Below are 19,949 nucleotides of genomic sequence, written 5' to 3'. Positions count from 1 at the left end.
TTGTTTGTTTGTTTCTCCCCTTGCCCAAGAACCTGCAACAGTCCCTGGACCCTGCTGATTGGAATAGTTGCGCTCACTGATGCAGCAGCAGAAACACCTCTTAACCAAGAAGCCTCAGTGGTTCCTCGACTCTGCTGATCAGAATAGTTGTGCTCACCAACACAGCAACAGAAACACTACTTTTCCCCTAGACCACAAGGAGGATGGTAGAATGTCGGATTTAGTGGCCCTTACCAATGCATTCTTGAAAACCTGCACCATTGCCTGTCCTCCTAGACCACAAGGAGGACTGAGAAAAATCAGATTTAGTGGTCCTTACCAATGCATTCTCAAAAACCCGTTAGAGTCCTAAGCATTCTCCTGTTAGTATTGTGACTTTACCCCTGTCCTTTAAAGATGTTATGCCACAAAAATGAAGGGGAGGGCCATACCCTCAGTGAGGGGAGGGATCTCCAGAGTTGGAAGAGTGATGCCTTTTGTCCTCACTTATATGAATAGAAAGGATACAGTTTCTGAGGATCCCCATATCCTAGCTTCAGGAATAGCTTTTGTTAGCCCCCTGCTAGTCTGAGGAGGGATCCTAAAATTCCAGATAGTCCCCCCTACGATGGGGCTTTGGGCAAAAATTATGTCTTTCTGATTGGTGAGCCCGGGTGCCTAAAGAAGGTAACAGAGTCCTGGAGTTTATACTAGAAATCATTCTTCTAGGAGAAACTAGAAAAACACCAGAGACAGGGAGTGGTATTTAGAAGTGGGACTAGCCTCGAAGAAGAGAGGCAAGAGGAAGTTTGTCTGATAGGCATTAGGATGCAGGAGGCAAGGGTCAGGACAGATAGGATAGATGGGCGAGTGTCACTTGGGCAAGATGACTTTGAGAGTTGCGTTCATGGCCACAGGGTCAACCAACTTTTTGGCGGGACCCCGGAGCTGAATGGCTTTCCTCTCTGTTGACCCTCGGCTCAGCCCAGAAGTACAGGAGAAGCAGAAGCTGGTTCCAGGCAAAACCAACCCTCCCAACTCTGAAGAGTCAGGGGTTGTTAGAGAGCACTTTCCCAGAAAGCCTGACACCCGTGTCTTTAGTCTGGCAGCCACACTAGTCACTTTTAACTGGCCGACAAGTGCCTGGTATTTAGCCCCCGAATTCTCAGGAAAAATAGGACAGAATAGCAAGCGAAACGGGTCTGATGGTACTCACCGCTTGGTGATAGTCCCTTCGTGGTTGCCAAAATGTGTCCGGAATTGGTTCCTTCTGGTGGGTTCTTGGTCTCACTGACTTCAAGAATGAAGCCTCAGATCCTCGCGGTGAGTGTTACAGTTCTTAAAAATGGTGTGTCCAGAGTTTGTTCCTTCAGATGTTCACATGTGTCCAGAGTTTCTTCCTTCTGGTGGATTCATGGTCTCGCTTGACTTCAGGAATGAAGCCGCAGACCTTCACAGTGAGTGTTACAGCTCTTAAAGCTGGCACATCCAGAGTTGTTTGTTCCTCCCAGTGGGTTCGTGGTCTCACTGACTTCAGGAGTGAAGCTGCACGTTCGCAGTGAGTGTTACAGTCCATAAAGGTAGTCCGGACCCAAAGAGTGAGCAGAAGCAAGATTTATTGTGAAGAGCAAAAGAATAAAGCTTCCACAGTGTGGAAGGGGACCTGAGCGGGTTGCTGCTGCTGGCTCAGATGGCCAGCTTTTATTCCCTTATTTGGCCCTGCCCACATCCTGCTGATTGATCCATTTTACAGAGCGCTAATTGGTCCATTTTATAGAGTGCTGATTGGTCCATTTTACAGAGTGCTGATTGGTGTGTTTACAATCCTTTAGCTAGACACAGAGTGCTGATTGGTGCATTTTTACAGAGTGCTGATTGATGCATTACAATCCTTTAGCTAGACACGGAGCACTGATTGGTGCATTTAAAATTCTTTAGCTAGACAGAAAAGTTCTCCAGTTCCCCACCCGACCCAGAAGCCCAGCCAGCTTCACCTCTCTATGGGGGAAACACTTCATGAGAGTTTCAAGTTTTCCATCTCCATTTCATGAACCTAAGTTTGTTAAAAACAAAAGTTAGTCACTATGGTTAAGGTGGTATTTAAGATAAAAGTTGAGATTCTACTAGATATAAAATAGTTATTTGATGTGCAGATACATAGAAGATAAAAATGATATATTTTTTCTGTTTCATAATAAAATTATTTCAATTGATTGAGATAAAATATAATACGTATATTATTGACATTATGATGAAACTAAATTAAAATTATGTTTCTATAATTATGCATTTGCATATGTCTAACAAGATACATTTAGAAATATATTTAGTTAAAAAAACAAGAAAAACCTGCATATATTTAGATTAATTGTATACAAAATGAGACAAATGAAAGGTTTGTTTCTTTCTATAAAATGACTTAGTTATTCTGTGCTCCAGAGAACTGCATTTTATCATCAAACTATTGCTAATTTTTATACTAAACCTTTTAAAATAATTTTAGTAAAACATGCCTTCATTTTTAAAATTGGAGTTCCTAAAAATTATTTATTGTTGTAGATTTTGAAAATATTACCTATAGATTGTTTTGCTTTTGTTCCTAAGAATGTAGCTCCTTATGTTGTCCCCTCTGATAACTATTTCTAGGTATGCCTTTTTTCCCAGTAAAAGTCTCACATTTAGAGCACTAAAACTGGTAAAATGTATTTTATATGTAAATTCATTATGAGGTTGCGAGAATGGCCAGCTGGTAACAGAAACATTTGTTATTCATTTCATATTAAGAAAGGTAATAGAAATACATATACTCACTTGACATTTTCAAATCTTAGTTAACTCAACACTATTTTCAGCCTTTTTTTTTCCTTTTCAACAAATTTAATAGTAGAAAACACTGATTTGACTTCTGGGCTAATCTAGATTGAATGTGTCCACATCAGCTCATCTCTCCCACTCATTACGTCTAAAAGTCTGGAAAGAGCAAAAACAACTCTCTGAGGACTCTTTAAAACTAAAGAATATCAGGTAGATTGAGAGAGAAATCAAAATTGAAGAATCTACATAAAAGTAAATTTACATTATTTTCTTTCCTTTATTTACTGGTTTCATGTATAAAGAATATCAGGTAGATAGAGAAATCAAAATTGAAGAATCTACATAAAAGTAGGTTTACATTTTTTTCTTTCCTTCTTTATTTACTGGTTTTGCCTATAAAGAATATCAGGTAGATAGAGAAATCAAAATTGAAGAATCTACATAAAAGTAAATTTACATTTTTTTATTTCCTTCTTTATTTACTGGTTTCACTTATGAATTGGCCAAATCGTGAAAATGGCCAGTGACTGTGGACAGCAAAAAAAAGTCAGAGGGGAAACCACACTTTCTAGCCAAAGAAATAGGAAAAAGGGCCTATGTGTAGAGGAGAGTGTGGGAGAGAACTCTTTTTCCTCTCTTTCTCCCTAACCAGAAAGGACCAGAACCAGGGGCAAAATCTCACAGCTGCAGTATCATTTAAGACTCAGAGACAGCCTATCCTTCTGGGCAAAGGGGCTGAAAAGAAGGACCCTGTGATCCAAAGAGTTGGGGGTAGGTGGAGATTCCTGTTGTTATTATTATTTTTCTCCTCTCTTTTCTCTGACTACCTTACCACAGCTCTCTCCTGGTTGCATATAACTGCACAACAGGGGGAGAGGGCTTGAGTGGATACAATTCTGACAGAACTCCAGCTTCCTGCTTTGTGGACCAAGCAGAGGGCCTATCAGACTGGAGAGTGTGAAGGAATATCTGCAGTAGAGAGATAAACACAAGGAAAACAATGTCAATAGCATCATAATCCAACTGCTAAAACAAATAACTAATAACTCAGAATTTTATGAATAGTGATCATATTTATGAGGAATAAAGGTTAAATAAATAAATACTTTGCAGTTTAAGGAAAACTATGAAAGTTTGGGACCAGCAGATTTACTCTATAAGAAATGCAATAGGAAGGTTTTCAGGTTGAAGACAAATTATGTAAGATGGAAACCTGGAATTTCTGAATAAAGGGAGAGCAATCAAATTTATAAATAGCTGGATAAATGGAGGATACTACATTAGGAAGCAAACATTATATCATTTTCTTAAAACTGTAATGCATGCAGATATAGTATATGGGACAGCAATATACAGTAGAATAAAAGGATTTATATGATTTTAAAAACTCTAAGTTTTAGTTGAACTGGTAAAATATATTACCTCTAAATAGTCTGAGAAAAATAGATTTTGAGGTTGTAATCTCTAAGCAAAAATTATAATAAATAAAAAATACAGCAGTAGCTCGTGCCTGTAATCCCAAAACTTTGGGAGGCTGAGGCAGCAGATCACTTGAGGACAGGAGTTTGAGACCAGCCTTGGTAGCATAGTGAAACCTTATCTCCACAGAAAATACAAAAATTAGCCAGTCTCAAAACATGGTCGCAAAATAAATAAATATATTGAAATTAAAAAATAAAATTTAATTGTTTTTTTTTAAAATACCAAAACCAATCCAAATGTAGTAAGTTAAAATTTTAAAAATACTGTGAATTGCCAAAACATATCAATCACAAAACACAAGTTACCAAATGGAATAAAAATATAATACCCAATTATATGTTGCCTACAGGAAACTAAATTTAATTATGAAAGTATCTTAGATTAAAAGTAAAAGCTGGCAAAAGATGTACCATGCAAACATTATCAAAAGATGTACCATGCAAATACATGCAAAGCTGACAAAAGATGTACCATGCAAATAATATACAGAGATGTTCCATGCAAATACTATCAAAGATATACCATGCAAATACTATTCCAGAAAGCTGGAATGAATATATCATCATACAAAATAGACTTCAGAAGCAGGAAAACCACCAGGTATAAAGCATGACACTGCACAAATCTGAGCACATTATATTTTAAAAAGGTACAACAGCAAAGATAGTATTTTCAATTAGATATCCATACATGAAATATATATCTAAATTTATACCTCAGTCTTGTACAGATATTGGATCATAACACTAAATGTAATAAATGAAAATATGGAAGTTTTAGAAGAAAACTTAGGAAAATGTACTTCAGGACATAGATTTGTTATTTGTTTTTGAGACAGGGTCTCCCTTGATCACCTAGGCTGGAGTACAGTGGAACCATCGTAGTTCACTGCAGCCTCAAACTCTGGGTGCAAGCAATTCTTTTGCTTCAGCCTCCCTAGTAGCTGAGACCACAGGTTCATACCACTAGGCCCAGTTGACTCTTTTGCAGAGACAGGTTCTCTCTATGTTGACCATACTGGCCTCAAACTCCTCCCTAAAGCAATCCTCCCACCTTAGCCTTCCAAAGTGTTGGAACTACAGATATGAGCCACTGTGCCCAGCCAGGGCTTGGATTTAGCAAAGAATTTTATATGTGTTACCGAAATCATCTTATATAAAAAAAAAAAGATAAACTACACTTCATCAACATTTAAAGTTCTTGCTCTGAAAAGTATAATGCTAAGAGAATGAAGCGACAAGGTAAAAAATAAAAAAAAAAGATTTTAAATATCCTACTGACAAAGGATTTATATCTAGACTATAAGAAGGAAACTTAAAATGCAATAGTAAGTAAACAACTAGACATATACAAATGGGGAAAATATTAGACACTACTCCAAAGGAGACATAGTGATAACAAATATATCCATTAAAATATTCTTCACATCATTAGTTATTCAGAAAAAACAAAGTAACACCACAATGCAATATCACTACACAGCTATTAGAAAGGAGAAGAAAAACAGGTAATGCCAATTACTGGTGAGGATACAGGGTAACAGGGAATCTTATACATTGTTAGTGAAAATGGGAAATGGTACAGCAAATCTAGAACACAGTTGAGAAGTTTCTTATAAACATGCATTACTATATTACCATGTATGCCCACAATTACACTTCTAGGTTTTTACCCAAGTGAAATAAAAGCCTATGAATACACACACACACACACACACACACACACACACACTCAAGTATTGAGTGTTCAGAGTTACTTCATTCAAAATTACCAAACACTGTAAACAATTGAAAAGTACATCAATTGGTAAATAGATGTTAACAATAGTATACCAATTAAATTCTCCTTAGCAATAAACAGGCATAAACTATTGATAAACACAATAAGGTCAATGAGTTCAGATAAGTTTTGCTGAATACCAGAAGAACTAAAGGCTGCATAAGCTATGATTTCAATTATATGACATACTGGAAGACATAAAAGTATAATGATTGATAAAAGATCAGTGGCTACTGACAGCAAAGGGGTGGAAGAGGCTTGAACTCAAAAGGCAGTAGCAAAGGGGTGTCATTGTTGTGATTATTGAACTGTTTTCTATCTTGATAGTGATAGTTGTTACATTTGCCAATACTCATAGAACTATACACTGAGCACTTTTTTGTATGTAATTTTAAAAATTTAAGTAATTATATATACTTATGTTTATGTATGCTATATATGTATAAATGCATATATAATCTATATCTCTAGATTTCATATATGTGTACATATCCCTAGGAAACTACTATAGAAATAATTCAAAAAGACATAGCCAAATAAACCAATATTAAAATTGAAGTGGAACATTTAAAATATTTACATAATCCCCCCAAAAAAGCAGAAGAGAGGAAACAGAAAATCAAAAACAAAAAGACAAACACGAAACCCAAACAAAATAGTATACATAAGTCCAACCACACCAATAAATATATTAATAAAAATAACCTAAAAACACAAGTTAAAAGACTGAGATTTTTGAGTTGGATTAAGAAAATATGGCCCAGCAATGGGTTGTGAATAAGAAAAATATTTTAAGAGTGAAACTTCTATTGCAAAAATAATATATCATGCATATATAATCCAAAGAAAGCTAGAGTGGCTCTATCAATGTCAACAATGTAGTCATTAAACAAGGAAATTGCAATGAATAACAAGAACATCTAAAAATAATTAGAAGGGTTAATTTACTAAGAAGACATAACAATTTTAAATATATATGCACCTAACAACAGAGTCTCAATGTATATGTAATAAAACCTGATAAAACTTTGAAAGGAGAAATGGACCTATTTATAAGATAATCTTCTCTTAGTAACCAATAGAAGGAGTAGGCAGAAAATCATCAAAGATTAAAAGACCAGAAAAACTCTATCAACCAGTTAGTCTAATTGATACCTATAAATGAACACTTCTCACAGTAAGAGCAGTTTACTTTTTTTCTGTACATTGGATATTATAATAGAGTACCCCATAAAGAAGTTAAGAAGAATAGGCCCGAGACACCTCTGATGCAGACTAGCTTGGAGGACCAATGGTTTTAAATCCATTAGACAGGAGAACAAATTGTGCCGAGATGCATGTCTCATCAAACTCTGAAAGGAAGTCACTTGGTTTAGTCCAAATTCTGAGGACAATGCTTAGAGCTTTTCCTAGTCTCTGTTCATAAACGCAGACTTATGACTAACTGTGGTCCTATACTCACACTGACTAGTTTAATAAAGTGGTTAGGTTAACTTCTTGAAAGGAAAATATAGTTAAAAGTAGTAAGATGGAAAAAATTGGGAAAAATGTCAATAACCCAAAATGTGCATAAGTGAAAAATGGCATTGAGTTCCTTTTTAGAAGCCCTTCTCTTAGTGGCAGAAACAGCAACCATTTAAAATTTTCAACAAAAATTTGAGACTCTAAGAATATATTTTAGGAATACTTTAAACAATTTTATGGCTATGGCCAGTAGCAAAAACAAAGAGCTCCTTGTTTTTGTTGTTTTGTTTTGTTTTAATTGAACTCGTATCTGAAACAGAGAACCTAGAAAAAAATAAATTACAATAGGATTGTAACAATTTAGAAATAGTGTGCATATGTTTGGGCATTATTAAAAAGTCTTAGACTAGCTTAGAAAAGAGCTTAGAACAAAGTACAAAATCAAAATATTCTGTTTCTTAAAGAATCATGGGCTTGAGGCTTTGGAAAACAGTAGATAATAAAAGCAGAGTCCACTGCAAGAAGTTATATTGGCTAAGGATAAGAAAGACAGATGTGCAAAATAATATTTATTTTCAGGAAATCATTGGACCAGAAAATGGTGCATTGTTTATAAATACATTTTGAAAATGAAAGGGCTTTTTTGGTGACATACATGCTACTACCACTATCATGGAAAATGATACGGTTTTGCAATACAAAAACCTCAAGTACTGGACATGTCTAAACGTTCTAAGTCCATTCTGTGTTTCAAATGTTCCAATCTTTGTGGCCCTTATTAGGGAAATCTTTTTTCTTCTGTGGGGCCCACCCTATGCAATGTAATGGGCAGGAAACTGTAATACAAAACTAATTGCTAGATAAAATCTAATGCCAAATGAACATTTTGTGTTAAAAAACTCTCATTACCATCAACTGGGTAGTTCCAGTCCCATCCATGTCTTTGATTCCAAACCTGATTTTTTTTTTTTTTTTTTTTTTTTTTTTTAGAATTCTTCGGATCCGTATTGAAGTGATTCAGCTAGAAATTGATAATCTTCATTTTAACACTGCTCTGAGTTAATGGCTGCTCTTGAAAAGGTTTGTACATTATTTGTGAAAAAAACTTTACTTCTGCCATTCTTTGCCATGTCAGATCCTTTTCCTTGATGTAATGTCCAATACTCCTTCCACATGTAATTCGTTATTACACTTGCAGACACTTCTTCCAGAATGGAAGTCCAACATTAAGACTGTATTACTATGACTGAAATCCTGATTCTGACTTCTATTTCCTTTATAACATTAGACAATTATCCCATTGTTATATTCAACTTATTGACTTTTGATTGTTCATGCTATAAGTTGTATATATTGTTTTATTATATTGTTTCAAGTTGGGTTCTGTCCTCTACTTTCTGACTAGATTTCTTTTATATTACTCAGTTTGGCCCAGATTTATTCAAATTCCCAAATCCAAGTTTTATATTTCTCCAATTTTCCTTACTGCATTATAGTAGCCCCTTATGTGATATATAAATCAGAAAAGAATGTCTATAAGTGTTCAAAAGTTTAAAAGGCTAATATTACATAGGCTGCTTTAATTTTAGAAATACATCAACCCAATAACGTGTATTCTCAAAGCGTAAGCATGTTTGGAATTTCGAATAATGATACCTAAAATTGCAAAGGCATAATAAAATTTTGACATATATTTCAAGGGGGAGTGAACTAATCATATATGACCATGGGGGACTTTAGATAAAGAAATCCTTTCAGTGAACAGAGTCTGGGTTCATGGAGATCAAAAGACAATCTTGAGCAACAGATTTAACCCTGAAGCAGAGGATGGAGTGACCTTCCTGAGAATCACATTGAGTGGGGCAGGAGACCTGAGAGAAAGCAAGGTCCCACTAGCAAGACAGGAAAGGAAAAAAAAATGTTTGTTGGACAGGTGATTACCAGTGTTTTCTATATTAAATAAAACAGTATTTTACACATATTATTTTGCTTGGTAATAATTAATTTTTAATTTGTCTTGCAGAAATATAACTTGACTCTAAGTTCTTACATCTATAAAAATTTTACTATATGCTGTCATAGTGTTATGATTTATCCCTAATGTGCTTTTCATTGCAGCCATATTATAAGCACAATTCTATGCTGTTCTGCAATTGCACAGAATTAGTACTCCAAGGTAGTAGATAAAAAATATTTCAGAGGGAAAAAAATGAAGGGTGTTATGTCTTTTAAGCTTTATAATACAAGATAAATCGTTTCTATTACACGTGGGTTGTGAAAATTGATGGTTATTCTTTATTCAAAGCCCTGATATTAACAAATCCCCAAAAGATGGAATGAATAGAAACAGAACAAATGAAAAAGTATAGATTGTTTGGCAAGTAGTCATTTGCATATATTCTTAGACAAAATTGATTTAAAGAATCTCCACGGATTAATGGATAAAGAACTTTTAATGAAATACAATATTCAATTTGGAAACACATTAACTTATAAATGATAAATTATAATAAATAAATGTTAATATTAATTTTCCTATATAGAAAAGAGTTCAATTCTCCCAAAGAATCACTGAAGGAGAATTGATAAGAAATATGTGTGAAATTCTCAAATATGTTGCTTGACATGGTTTACATCTTTACATAAAACTTTCCCAAACAAGTTTAGAAATAGCATTATTATTTATGAATATGAACTGATATATGGTCTAAATTAAGAGGAAACTAAAAGTTATGATACATATAATACTACCATGGTATAAACACTAGTGGGAATCAAATTCCATTTAAGAAATGTTTTATTGTAAAAAATAAGAGAAAATCTTTATATACTCACCCCCTATACACATTTTTGAAATTGCTCCACCAAACTTTTCTGGGATAACATATTTCTTTAAATAAAAGTACATCTTTTTGAGACACATCTTTATTTTACATGCCAAAAGAAATTACTTTAAAGCTAAAAATCAGGCTACACATGTGATACAATACTAACATTATTTCTGGTTTTAAAATTATATTTAAAGTATATTTTCAATTAATGCTTTGTAGATATAATTTATATATGTTAGCTATATGTGTGTTAATCTAAGCCTGTTATTTTTCAATTAAAAATAAAAATACTGTATAAACAATGTTATTTTTAAAACGAATGATTTTTTTAAATAAAATGATTTTTTTCAGGAATCTGATATTTAGAACATAAGCCATTTCTTATACTCAATTCCATTTATCTTTCCATCCTATAATTCCATTGCATTTTGAAGCATCAATAGATCTGTTTCAGTAATGGGGTAAGGACCCGTTATTCAATAAATGGTACTGGAATAACTGGCTAGTCAAAGGCAGAAGAATGAAACTAGACCCTTGCCTTTCACTGTATGCAAAAATTAACTCCAAATGGATTAAAGATTTAAATGTAAGATCTCAACTATAGAAATCCTAGAAGAAAACCTAGGAAACATCCTTCTTGACATCAGCCTTAGCAAGTAATTTTTGGCTAACTTCTCAAAGCAATTGCAACAAAAACAAAAATTAGCAAGTGGGACCCAATTAAACTAAAGAACTTCTGTACAGTAAAATCAATCATCCATAGAGTTGCAAACCTACAGAATATGATAAAATATTCAGAAACTATGCATCCGACAAAGGTCTAATGTCCAGAACATATCAGGAACATAAATCACCAAGCAAAAAACAACCATATTTAAAAAGGACAGAGGACATGAACAGACACTTCTAAAAAGAAGACATACACAAGGCCAACAAACATATGAACAAATGCTCATCATAGTAAAAAACAAATCAAAACCACAGTGAGATAGCAGCTCACATCAGTCAGAATGGCTATTATTAAAAAGTCAAAAACAACAGATACTGGCAAGGCTGCAGAGAAAAGGGAACTATTATGCATTGTTGATGGGAATGTAAATTAGTTCAACCACTGTGGAAAGCAGTTTGGAAATTTCCCAAATTACTTAAAACAGAGCTACCATTTGACCCAGAAATCTCATTACTGGATATATACACAAAGGAAAATAGATCAGTCAACCAAAAAGACACATGTACTTGTATGTTCGTCAAAAAGCTATTCAGAATAGCAAAGACACATAATCAACCTAGGTGTCTATCAATGGTGGACTGAATAAAGAAAAAGTTCACTATGGAATACTATGGAGCCATTAAAAAGAATAAAATTATGTTCTTTGAAGCAACATAGTTGGACTAGAGGCCATAATCTTAAGATAATTAATGCAAGAACAGAAAACCAAATACTGCATGTTTTCACTTATAAGTGGGAGCTAAACATTAAACACACATAGACATAAACACAAGAACAACAAACACTGTGGACTACTAGAGGGGGAAGGGAAGGGGGAAGACATGGGTTGAAAAACTACCTGTTGGGCACTATGCTGACTACCTGAGTGCAATATACCCATGAAACAAACCTGCACATGCACCCCCTGTGTCTAAAATAAAAGATGAAGTTTAAAAAAATAACATGAAACCTCAGAAGTAATGATAAACAAGAACAGAAACAAAATTCCATCATTTATGTTTTGTGTTTTGCTTTGCTATTATGAATAAGTAATAGATGTTTATATATATATTTAAGTTAAATTCATCTAAATTTAAGCTTATTTATATTTAAATTAAATTCAGCTAAATTCATCTGTATTTTATTTCATTTTATTCAAATTTATCTAAAATTAAAATTGTTTTATTTTATTGATAATTGCTCTACAAAACATTTTTGAGATAAAACATTTCTTTAAATACAAGTACAGCATTTTAAAACACATCTTTATTTTATATGCCAAAAGAAATTTACTTTAAATTTAAAGCTAAAATGTAGGCTATGCATGATACAATACTAAAATGCCACTAACTTTGAACTTCATTACTTCACACATTTAAAGGTTGAGAAATTTTTATCTCAGAATTTATAAAATATTACATATAACCATGGGTAAGTCACTTATATGACTAAAGGTATAGTCTGAATAACATTGTATCAGATACAAGTATTTGATTGAATGCAAAACATGATCATACATTTGAATGTCCATTAAATACAAAAATTTGGGTGGATGACACTGAAATCATCTCAGAATGTCTCTTATTGACTTTCATAATACAATAACAAAATATATAGATGTTGAACTTTTAAGGTTTTCTCACACTTATGTGTCTATCTATATGTTGAAATTTAGATACTCATTCTATTAAAAAAAAAAAAACTCATTCTCTGCCCAGAAAGTTTATATTATGCTATTTTATCTAAACCTAAGTAGGGTAACCAAGAAGATACCAGTTCACTTAATTTCAGTTATTGGTGATATAATCAATTCATCTTTGTGTTTTCAGAATTAGTATTGCCTTTTTAATATATTAATATAAATAGGTGCATAGGATTATAACCAGATTTTTAAACACTTAAAATAGATATTACTTGATTAATTATAGTCTATATAAGAAATAACATATTAAAGGTAATTCCTTTTAAATGTACAGTGTTAACCACAGTCACCCTACTGTGCAATAGAACACCAGAACTTGTTCCTCCCATGTAAATATAATTTTATACCTCTTGATAAATCTCTCCCGGTTCCCCTCTCCTTCCTACCTTCCCCAGGCTATGGTAACCACTGTTCTACTCTCTACTGCTTTCAGATCAGCTTCTTTAGACTCTATATATGTAAATGAGATCACACATTTGTCTTTCTGTACCTTGCGTATGTCACTTAACATAATGTCTTCCAGGTACATCTGTGTTGCTGCAAATTACAGGATTTCATTCTTTATCATGTACCTCGAAGAAAAGATTTTGGATGTTCTCACCACAAATAAATAATAAATGTATGAGGTGACTGAATAAATACTCTGATTTGATCGTTACACCATATGTATATGTATTGAAACATCTCAGTGAACCCTATAAATATGTAATTATTACTTGCGAATTAAAAACAAAATTTTAAAAAGCTTATTAGTTTTAAACACTAAGCCCTTCATGTTGTTACTTTTCATAGTTTGCAAACATAATGGCTACCAAAGACATATCAAAGTTCCTTATCTTTGCTATCTTCTTGTAACATTTATTAATGCATTTTACAAGACTATTGCAGATATGTTAGAAAGTTGCTCTGTTTTCTGTAATTATCATCTCTAGGCTTGTGTTACATTATCTGCAGTACTTTTTGGGTTACATTTTTCTTCTTCTTTATGTCTTTCTTATGCATTCTTACTCCTTTACACATAATTTATTTGATACTTCCTCTTCTTTACAAGAACACAGTGCATTCTCCATGCACTGCTTGTTTGCATTCTACTCTGCTTAAAGTTTTTCTATCATAACTCTCTTGTTATGTTGATTTCTGCATTTCCTTTGCATTTCAAGTTAAATGTTGCTTATTGACGGTCAGTAAGTGTTCCCAATAGATAAAGAGATTTAAAAGGGACATTTCTCAGATTGTGTGCTGCTGGAGATATGATACCTCTGTGAAATAAGATTTTCCTTTTTATGCAGTGTTTTTTTTTTCTTCAGTTAAGTCTGCCACCCCCCTACCCCCAGCCTATAAACAGTCTTTCTTCAAAGGACTATAAGAGATCAGCCAAATGCTATTTCAGCACGTTCATTTTTAAAATCTCTATCGACTATTGAAGGTAGGTTACACTCGATGTTAAACATGATTTAAAAGTCCACATTTGGCATATTAAAATATTAGTAAACCATACTCAATGAAAGAGTCTGATAAATATTGAGGATGGATTGTAGTTTATATTCTCATGTACACGCATTTTCAAACGTTAGCTTTTGTCTGAGTTGGCAAGTCTAAAATGTGTAAAAATGGATGAGTCCAGCAAATCTATTTTCAGAGATTATTTTTCCTACTATTAGAACTAATTTCTGCTGATGTGAAAGTATTATTTGCTTGACCTAGCAAGTGTGAGTGTTTAATGGACTTAGCCAAGCTAAGGATGTGACTTGGTTATCTGAGTCCTAAACCTGAGAGCTTGGCTAATTCCCTGATAGATTCAGCCAACACATTTTGCCATTTTAGACCCAAAGGACATTATTAATAAATTGGAACTAATGACACTGACCTGCTGTGTAATGGCCTAGCAAGAAATAGCTAATCAATAGATGTTTTTTGGAAGTATAAAGTACTAAAAAGTAACCCCCAAGTTGCCCCAGAGTTATAAAACTCAGTTATTTATTTCATTTTTCTAAATGTTAGAAAAATGTGGAGGGTCATTTGTTAAAAAGGAATCCTGCAAGAAATAAAACAGGTGCTATGGTTAATGGTGCTGTAATTTAGCAGATTCCTGTTAATTCCATCTCACTATATCAGCATAACATTGAATTGCTGATTTTTAGAGGTCTTCATGAAGCTATAATTTCACATGAAATCTTGGTAGTGTGAGGCTACCACATGTCTTCTACAAACTCTATTTAGAGACATGCTATTTTCAATTTCTTAAGCAAATAATAAGGCACATTGCTTTCCTTTTTAATAAGAATATAGCATTCAAAAAAGTGTTTCTTAAAAATGGCAAAATTGATGGATTTCTTCTGTCAATTATTTCTAACACAAATAAAGTAGAATTGAAGATTATACTCCAAAATCTTATAGCTGTTAGTATATTGCATTCAGTGATTTTTTTTCTAAAATTGCCTTAAAATATGAACTATTTAGAAAATGTCACAGATGTGTGATATAGTATTTTGAAATTAAAAATGCATCAATCTTCAACAATACCATAAGCAGTTTTACTTTCAATTTTTAAAATTCTATACTGTAAAAACTTTTTTCTTGAAATCATTAGAATGATAAATATTTTTTCTCAGATCCTTTCTAAAATGATTAAGATCATGATTCTTGGTTAATGTTCCTTTTAACCACAAAACAAATAGCAATGCTAGTGAACATCCATCATTGATTTTCTACTGGAATGGTATTGTGGTATTGTAACACGAATAAATGAGTAGACATTTTACTATTGGTCCATCTAACGTCATGTGCATATACATATATATACATAATAATGATACATATATACAGTCTGTTGTCTTCTTTCTTACAGTTTTGCTGTTGAAGTGCCAAAATGATTCCTTTATAATGAAACTTATGAGTTAAGAAGTTACACAGTAAAGCCATAAAAGTTAACATTCTAGGTAAATATGGTTTATCAAAGTAATAAAAATAATTTTACTATTTTTAGAAAACTTTTTGTCCCACCCAAATTATTTCATTACATTATTCACTCTTCTTTAACACCTTGCACTGTACCTTTCACATATTTTGGAGATTCTCTCATGTCAGTCTCTAAAACTGTTTCTAAATTATCAATTTAGATAGATCATGTTTCCGTATATGAGTGTACCTCAAATTAGTGTATTCCCTACCAACAGGCACGTATGTAGTTTATAATCTATCATTAATTATGGTGCTGCAATGTATATAGTTGTACCTATATCATTATTACATTTGTGAGTACATTTACAGGGATAAAGTAACTGGAATTAATATAGCTACATCAAAAGGATTTAGTTTTTATGGATATAATTACCTAAGAGTGAAATAATTGGATAATATTTAAGCATATATTTAACTTTTTAAATAAATGGCCAGAACTATGTCATAATGTTGTATTATGTTACATTGACACTAGAAGTGCATATAAAGATGTAAACATGAGCATTCATAGCAGCCTTATTTATAATAACTGAAAACTGGAAACTGCCCAGATGTTCTCCAACAGATGAGTGGATAAAGAACCTCTATATACCCATAAAATGGAATGCTATTCAGCAATAAAAGAGAACAAACTATTAGATACATACGAACAGCATTGATATATCTGAAAGTAATTATGCTAAGTGAAGGAAACCACACAAAAAAAGAAAAAAGTGTGCATTTTCATGTGTGTCCGTGTGAAGACACCACCAAACAGGCTTTGTGTGAGCAATAAAGCTGTTTATTTCACCTGGGTGCAGGTGGGCTGAGTCTGAAAAGAGAGTCAGTGAAGGGAGATGGGGTGGGGCCGTTTTATAGGATTTGGGTAGGTAAAGGAAAATTACAGTCAAAGGGGGGTTGTTCTCTGGCAGGCAGAGTGGAGGTCACAAGGTGCTCAGTAGGGGAACTTTTGAGCCAGGATGAGCCAGGAGAAGGAATTTCACAAGACAATGTCATCAGTTAAGGCATGAACAGGACATTTTCACTTCTTTTGTGGTGGAATATCATCAGTTAAGGCAGGAACCGGCCATCTGGATGTGATCTGGATGTGTACGTGCAGGTCACAGGGATGGCTTAGCTTGGGCTCAGAGGCCTGTCATTCCTATCCTCTTATATTAATAAGAAAAATAAAATGAAATAGTGGTAAAGTGTTGGGACGGTGAGAATTTTTGGGGGTGGTATGGAGAGATAATGGGTGATGTTTCTCAGGGCTGCTTTGAGCAGGATTAGGGGCGGCGTGGGAACCTAGAGTGGGAGAGATTAAGCTGAAGGAAGATTTTGTGGTAAGGGGTGATATTGTGGGACTGTTAGAAGAAACATTTGTCATTTAGAATTATTGGTGATGGCCTGGATAAGGTTTTGTATGAATTGAAAAACTAAACGGATTAAGAGAAGGAGAAAAACAGGTATTAATGGTCTAAGAATTGGGAGGACCTAGGACATTTAATTAGAGAGTGCCTAAGGAAATTCAGCATAGTCCTGTCAGCAAAGATTATTTATTTACTTCAAGAGTTAAGAGTGGCAGTTTGGGGATAGAACCAGGAGATATCAGCTGTGATGGCTTGGAGAAACAGTGTAAACCGGCAGTGTAAACAAGAGCAGGGCATGTATGAGTAGTTGAGACCGGTGAATAGGAGTATGACTAGACAGAAGATAGTAGGGATGACAAGTTCTTTTGGGGCACAGTCTAAGTTAGTCTGGTGTCTGTAATGAGACTGGGGCCTAATAAATAGGAGCATCTATACAGGAGCTCAAATGGGCTGTACCCTGTAGCATTCTGAGGACAGGTCTGACTTCTGAGAACGGAAAGTAGTAAAAGTATTGTCTAGTCCTTTTTAAGCTGGAGCTTCGTGAGGTGTTTTTTTTTTTTTTTTTTTTTTTTTGAGACGGAGTCTTGCTCTTTCACCCAGGCTGGAGTGCAGTGGCGCGATCTTGGCTCACTGCAAGCTCCGCCTCCCGGGTTCATGCCATTCTCCTGCCTCAGCCTCCCAAGTAGCTGGGACTACAGGCGCCCGCCATCACACCCGGCTAATTTTTTCGTATTTTTAGTAGAGACGGGGTTTCACCATGTTAGCCAGAATGGTCTCGATTTCCTGACCTCGTGATCCACCCGCCTCAGCCTCCCAAAGTGCTGGGATTACAGGCATGAGCCACCACGCCCGGTAGTGAGGTATGTTTTTAAAAGACCGTTAGTCTGTTCTACTTTTCCTGAAGACTGAGGACTGTAAGGGATATAAAGGTTTCACTCAATACTAAGTGCCTGGAAAACTGCTTGGCTGATTTGACTAATAAAGGCTGGTCCATTATCAGACTGTATAGAGGTGGGAAGGCTAAACTGAGGAATTATGTCTGACAGAAGGGAAGAAATGACTGAGGTGGCCTTCTCAGACCCTGTAGGAAAGGACTCTACCTATCCAGTGAAAGTGTCTACCTAGACTAAGAGGTATTTTAGTTATCTGACTTGGGGCATGTTGAGTAAAGCTAATTTTCCAGTCCTGGGTGGGGGCAAATCCTCGAGCTTGATGTGTAGGGAAGGGAGGGGGGGCCTGAATAATCCTTGAGGAGTAGTAGCATAGCAGATGGAACACTGAGAAGTTATTTCCTTGAGGATAGATTTCCACGATGGAAAGGAAATGAGAGGTTTTAAGAGGTGGGCTAGTGACTTGTACTATAGCATAGCCTGCCTTTGCTGGTGTGTGGCGATTAGGCCTGGTGGAACCACCATTAATAAATCAAGTGTGATCAGGGTGAGGAACAGGAAAGAAGGAAATATGGGGAAATGGGGTGAATGTCAGGTGGATCAGAGAGATACAGTCATGAGGGTCAGGTGTGGTATCCAGAATAATGTGGGAGGCCAGATTGAGGTCCCGGCCAGTAACAATGGTAATTGTGGGACTTAACAAAGAGTGAGTACAGCTGAAGTGGCTGGGGAGCAGAAAGTATATGTGTCAGGTATGAGGAAGAAAATAGATTTTGGAAGTTATGAGAAATGTAGAGAGTAAGTTGAGCATAGTTTGTGATTTTGAGGGCCTCTAAAAGTATTAGGGCGGCAGCAGCCACTGCACGGAGACATGATGGCTAGGCTAAAACAGTAAGGTCAAGTTGTTTGGACAGAAAGGCTACAGGGTGCAGTCCTGGCTCTTGTGTAAGAATTCTGACCACACTAACCATGCCTAGGAAGGAAGGGAGTTGTTGTTTTGTAAGGGATTGAGGTTTGGGAGATTAATCAGACACAATCAGCAGGGAAAGCACGTGTGTTTTTGAGCATTATGCTGATAGGTAACAGATGAGGATGAAATTTGGGCTTGACTGAAGTAATGGGGGCTGTCTGTGAAGCCTTGCGGCAATATAGCCCAGGTAATTTGCGAGCCTAACGGGTGTCAGGGTCAGTCTAAGTGAAAGCAAAGAGAGGCTGGGATGAGGGGTGCAGGGGAATAGTGAAAAAAGCATCTTTAAGATCCAGAATGGAATAGTGAGTTGTGGAGGAAGGTATTGAGGACAAAAGAGTGTACGGGTTGGGCACCACAGGGTGGATAGCCAAAACAATTTGGTTGATAAGGCGCAGATCCTGAACTAACTTGTAAGGCTTGTCTGGTTTTAGGACAGGTAAAATGGGGGAATTGTAAGGAGAGTTTATAGGTTTTAGAAGCCCATGCTGTAGCAGGCGAGTGATAACAGGCTTTAATCCTTTTAAAGCGTGCTGTGGGATGGGATATTGGCATTGAGCGGGGTAAGGGTGATTAGGTTTTAATGGGATGGTAATGGGCATGTGATCGGTTGCCAGGGAAGGAGTAGAGATGTCCCATACTTGTGGGTTAAGGTAGGGGGATACGAGAGGAAGACACGAAGGAGGCTTTGGGTTGGGGAGAAGGGCAGCAATGAGATGCGGCTGTAGTCCAGGAATAGTCAGGGAAGCAGTTAATTTGGTTAAAATATCTCGGCCTAATAAGGGAACTGGGCAGGTGGGGATAATTAAAAAAGAGTGCATAAAAGAGTGTTGTCCAAGTTGGCACCAGAGTGGGGGAGTTTTCAGGGGTTTAGAAGCCTGGCTGTCAATACCCACAACAGTTATGGAGGCAAGGGAAACAGGCCCTTGAAAATAAGGTAACGTGGAGTGGGTAGCCTCCGTATTGACTAACGGGACAGACTTATCTTCCACTGTGAGAGTTACCTGAAGCTCGGCATCCAT

General features: G+C 35.3%; 1 long non-coding RNA gene across 1 annotated transcript in view; it reads left to right on the top strand.

Moving 5' to 3' along the window:
• The window catches only part of LINC00376 (long intergenic non-protein coding RNA 376), a 144,994-nt gene that overhangs the window by 92,518 nt on the left and 32,527 nt on the right, over nucleotides 1–19,949 (top strand). Inside the window, exons 4-5 of the long non-coding RNA NR_126409.1 lie at nucleotides 3,446–3,564; nucleotides 8,509–8,598. This is a non-coding gene — a long non-coding RNA (long intergenic non-protein coding RNA 376). The remainder of the gene's footprint in view (nucleotides 1–3,445; nucleotides 3,565–8,508; nucleotides 8,599–19,949) is intronic.

The sequence above is a fragment of the Homo sapiens genome, chromosome 13, assembly GCF_000001405.40.
Source record: "Homo sapiens chromosome 13, GRCh38.p14 Primary Assembly".
Taxonomy (NCBI): Eukaryota; Metazoa; Chordata; class Mammalia; order Primates; family Hominidae; genus Homo; species Homo sapiens.
This window is presented reverse-complemented; position numbering and strand designations above follow the sequence as displayed.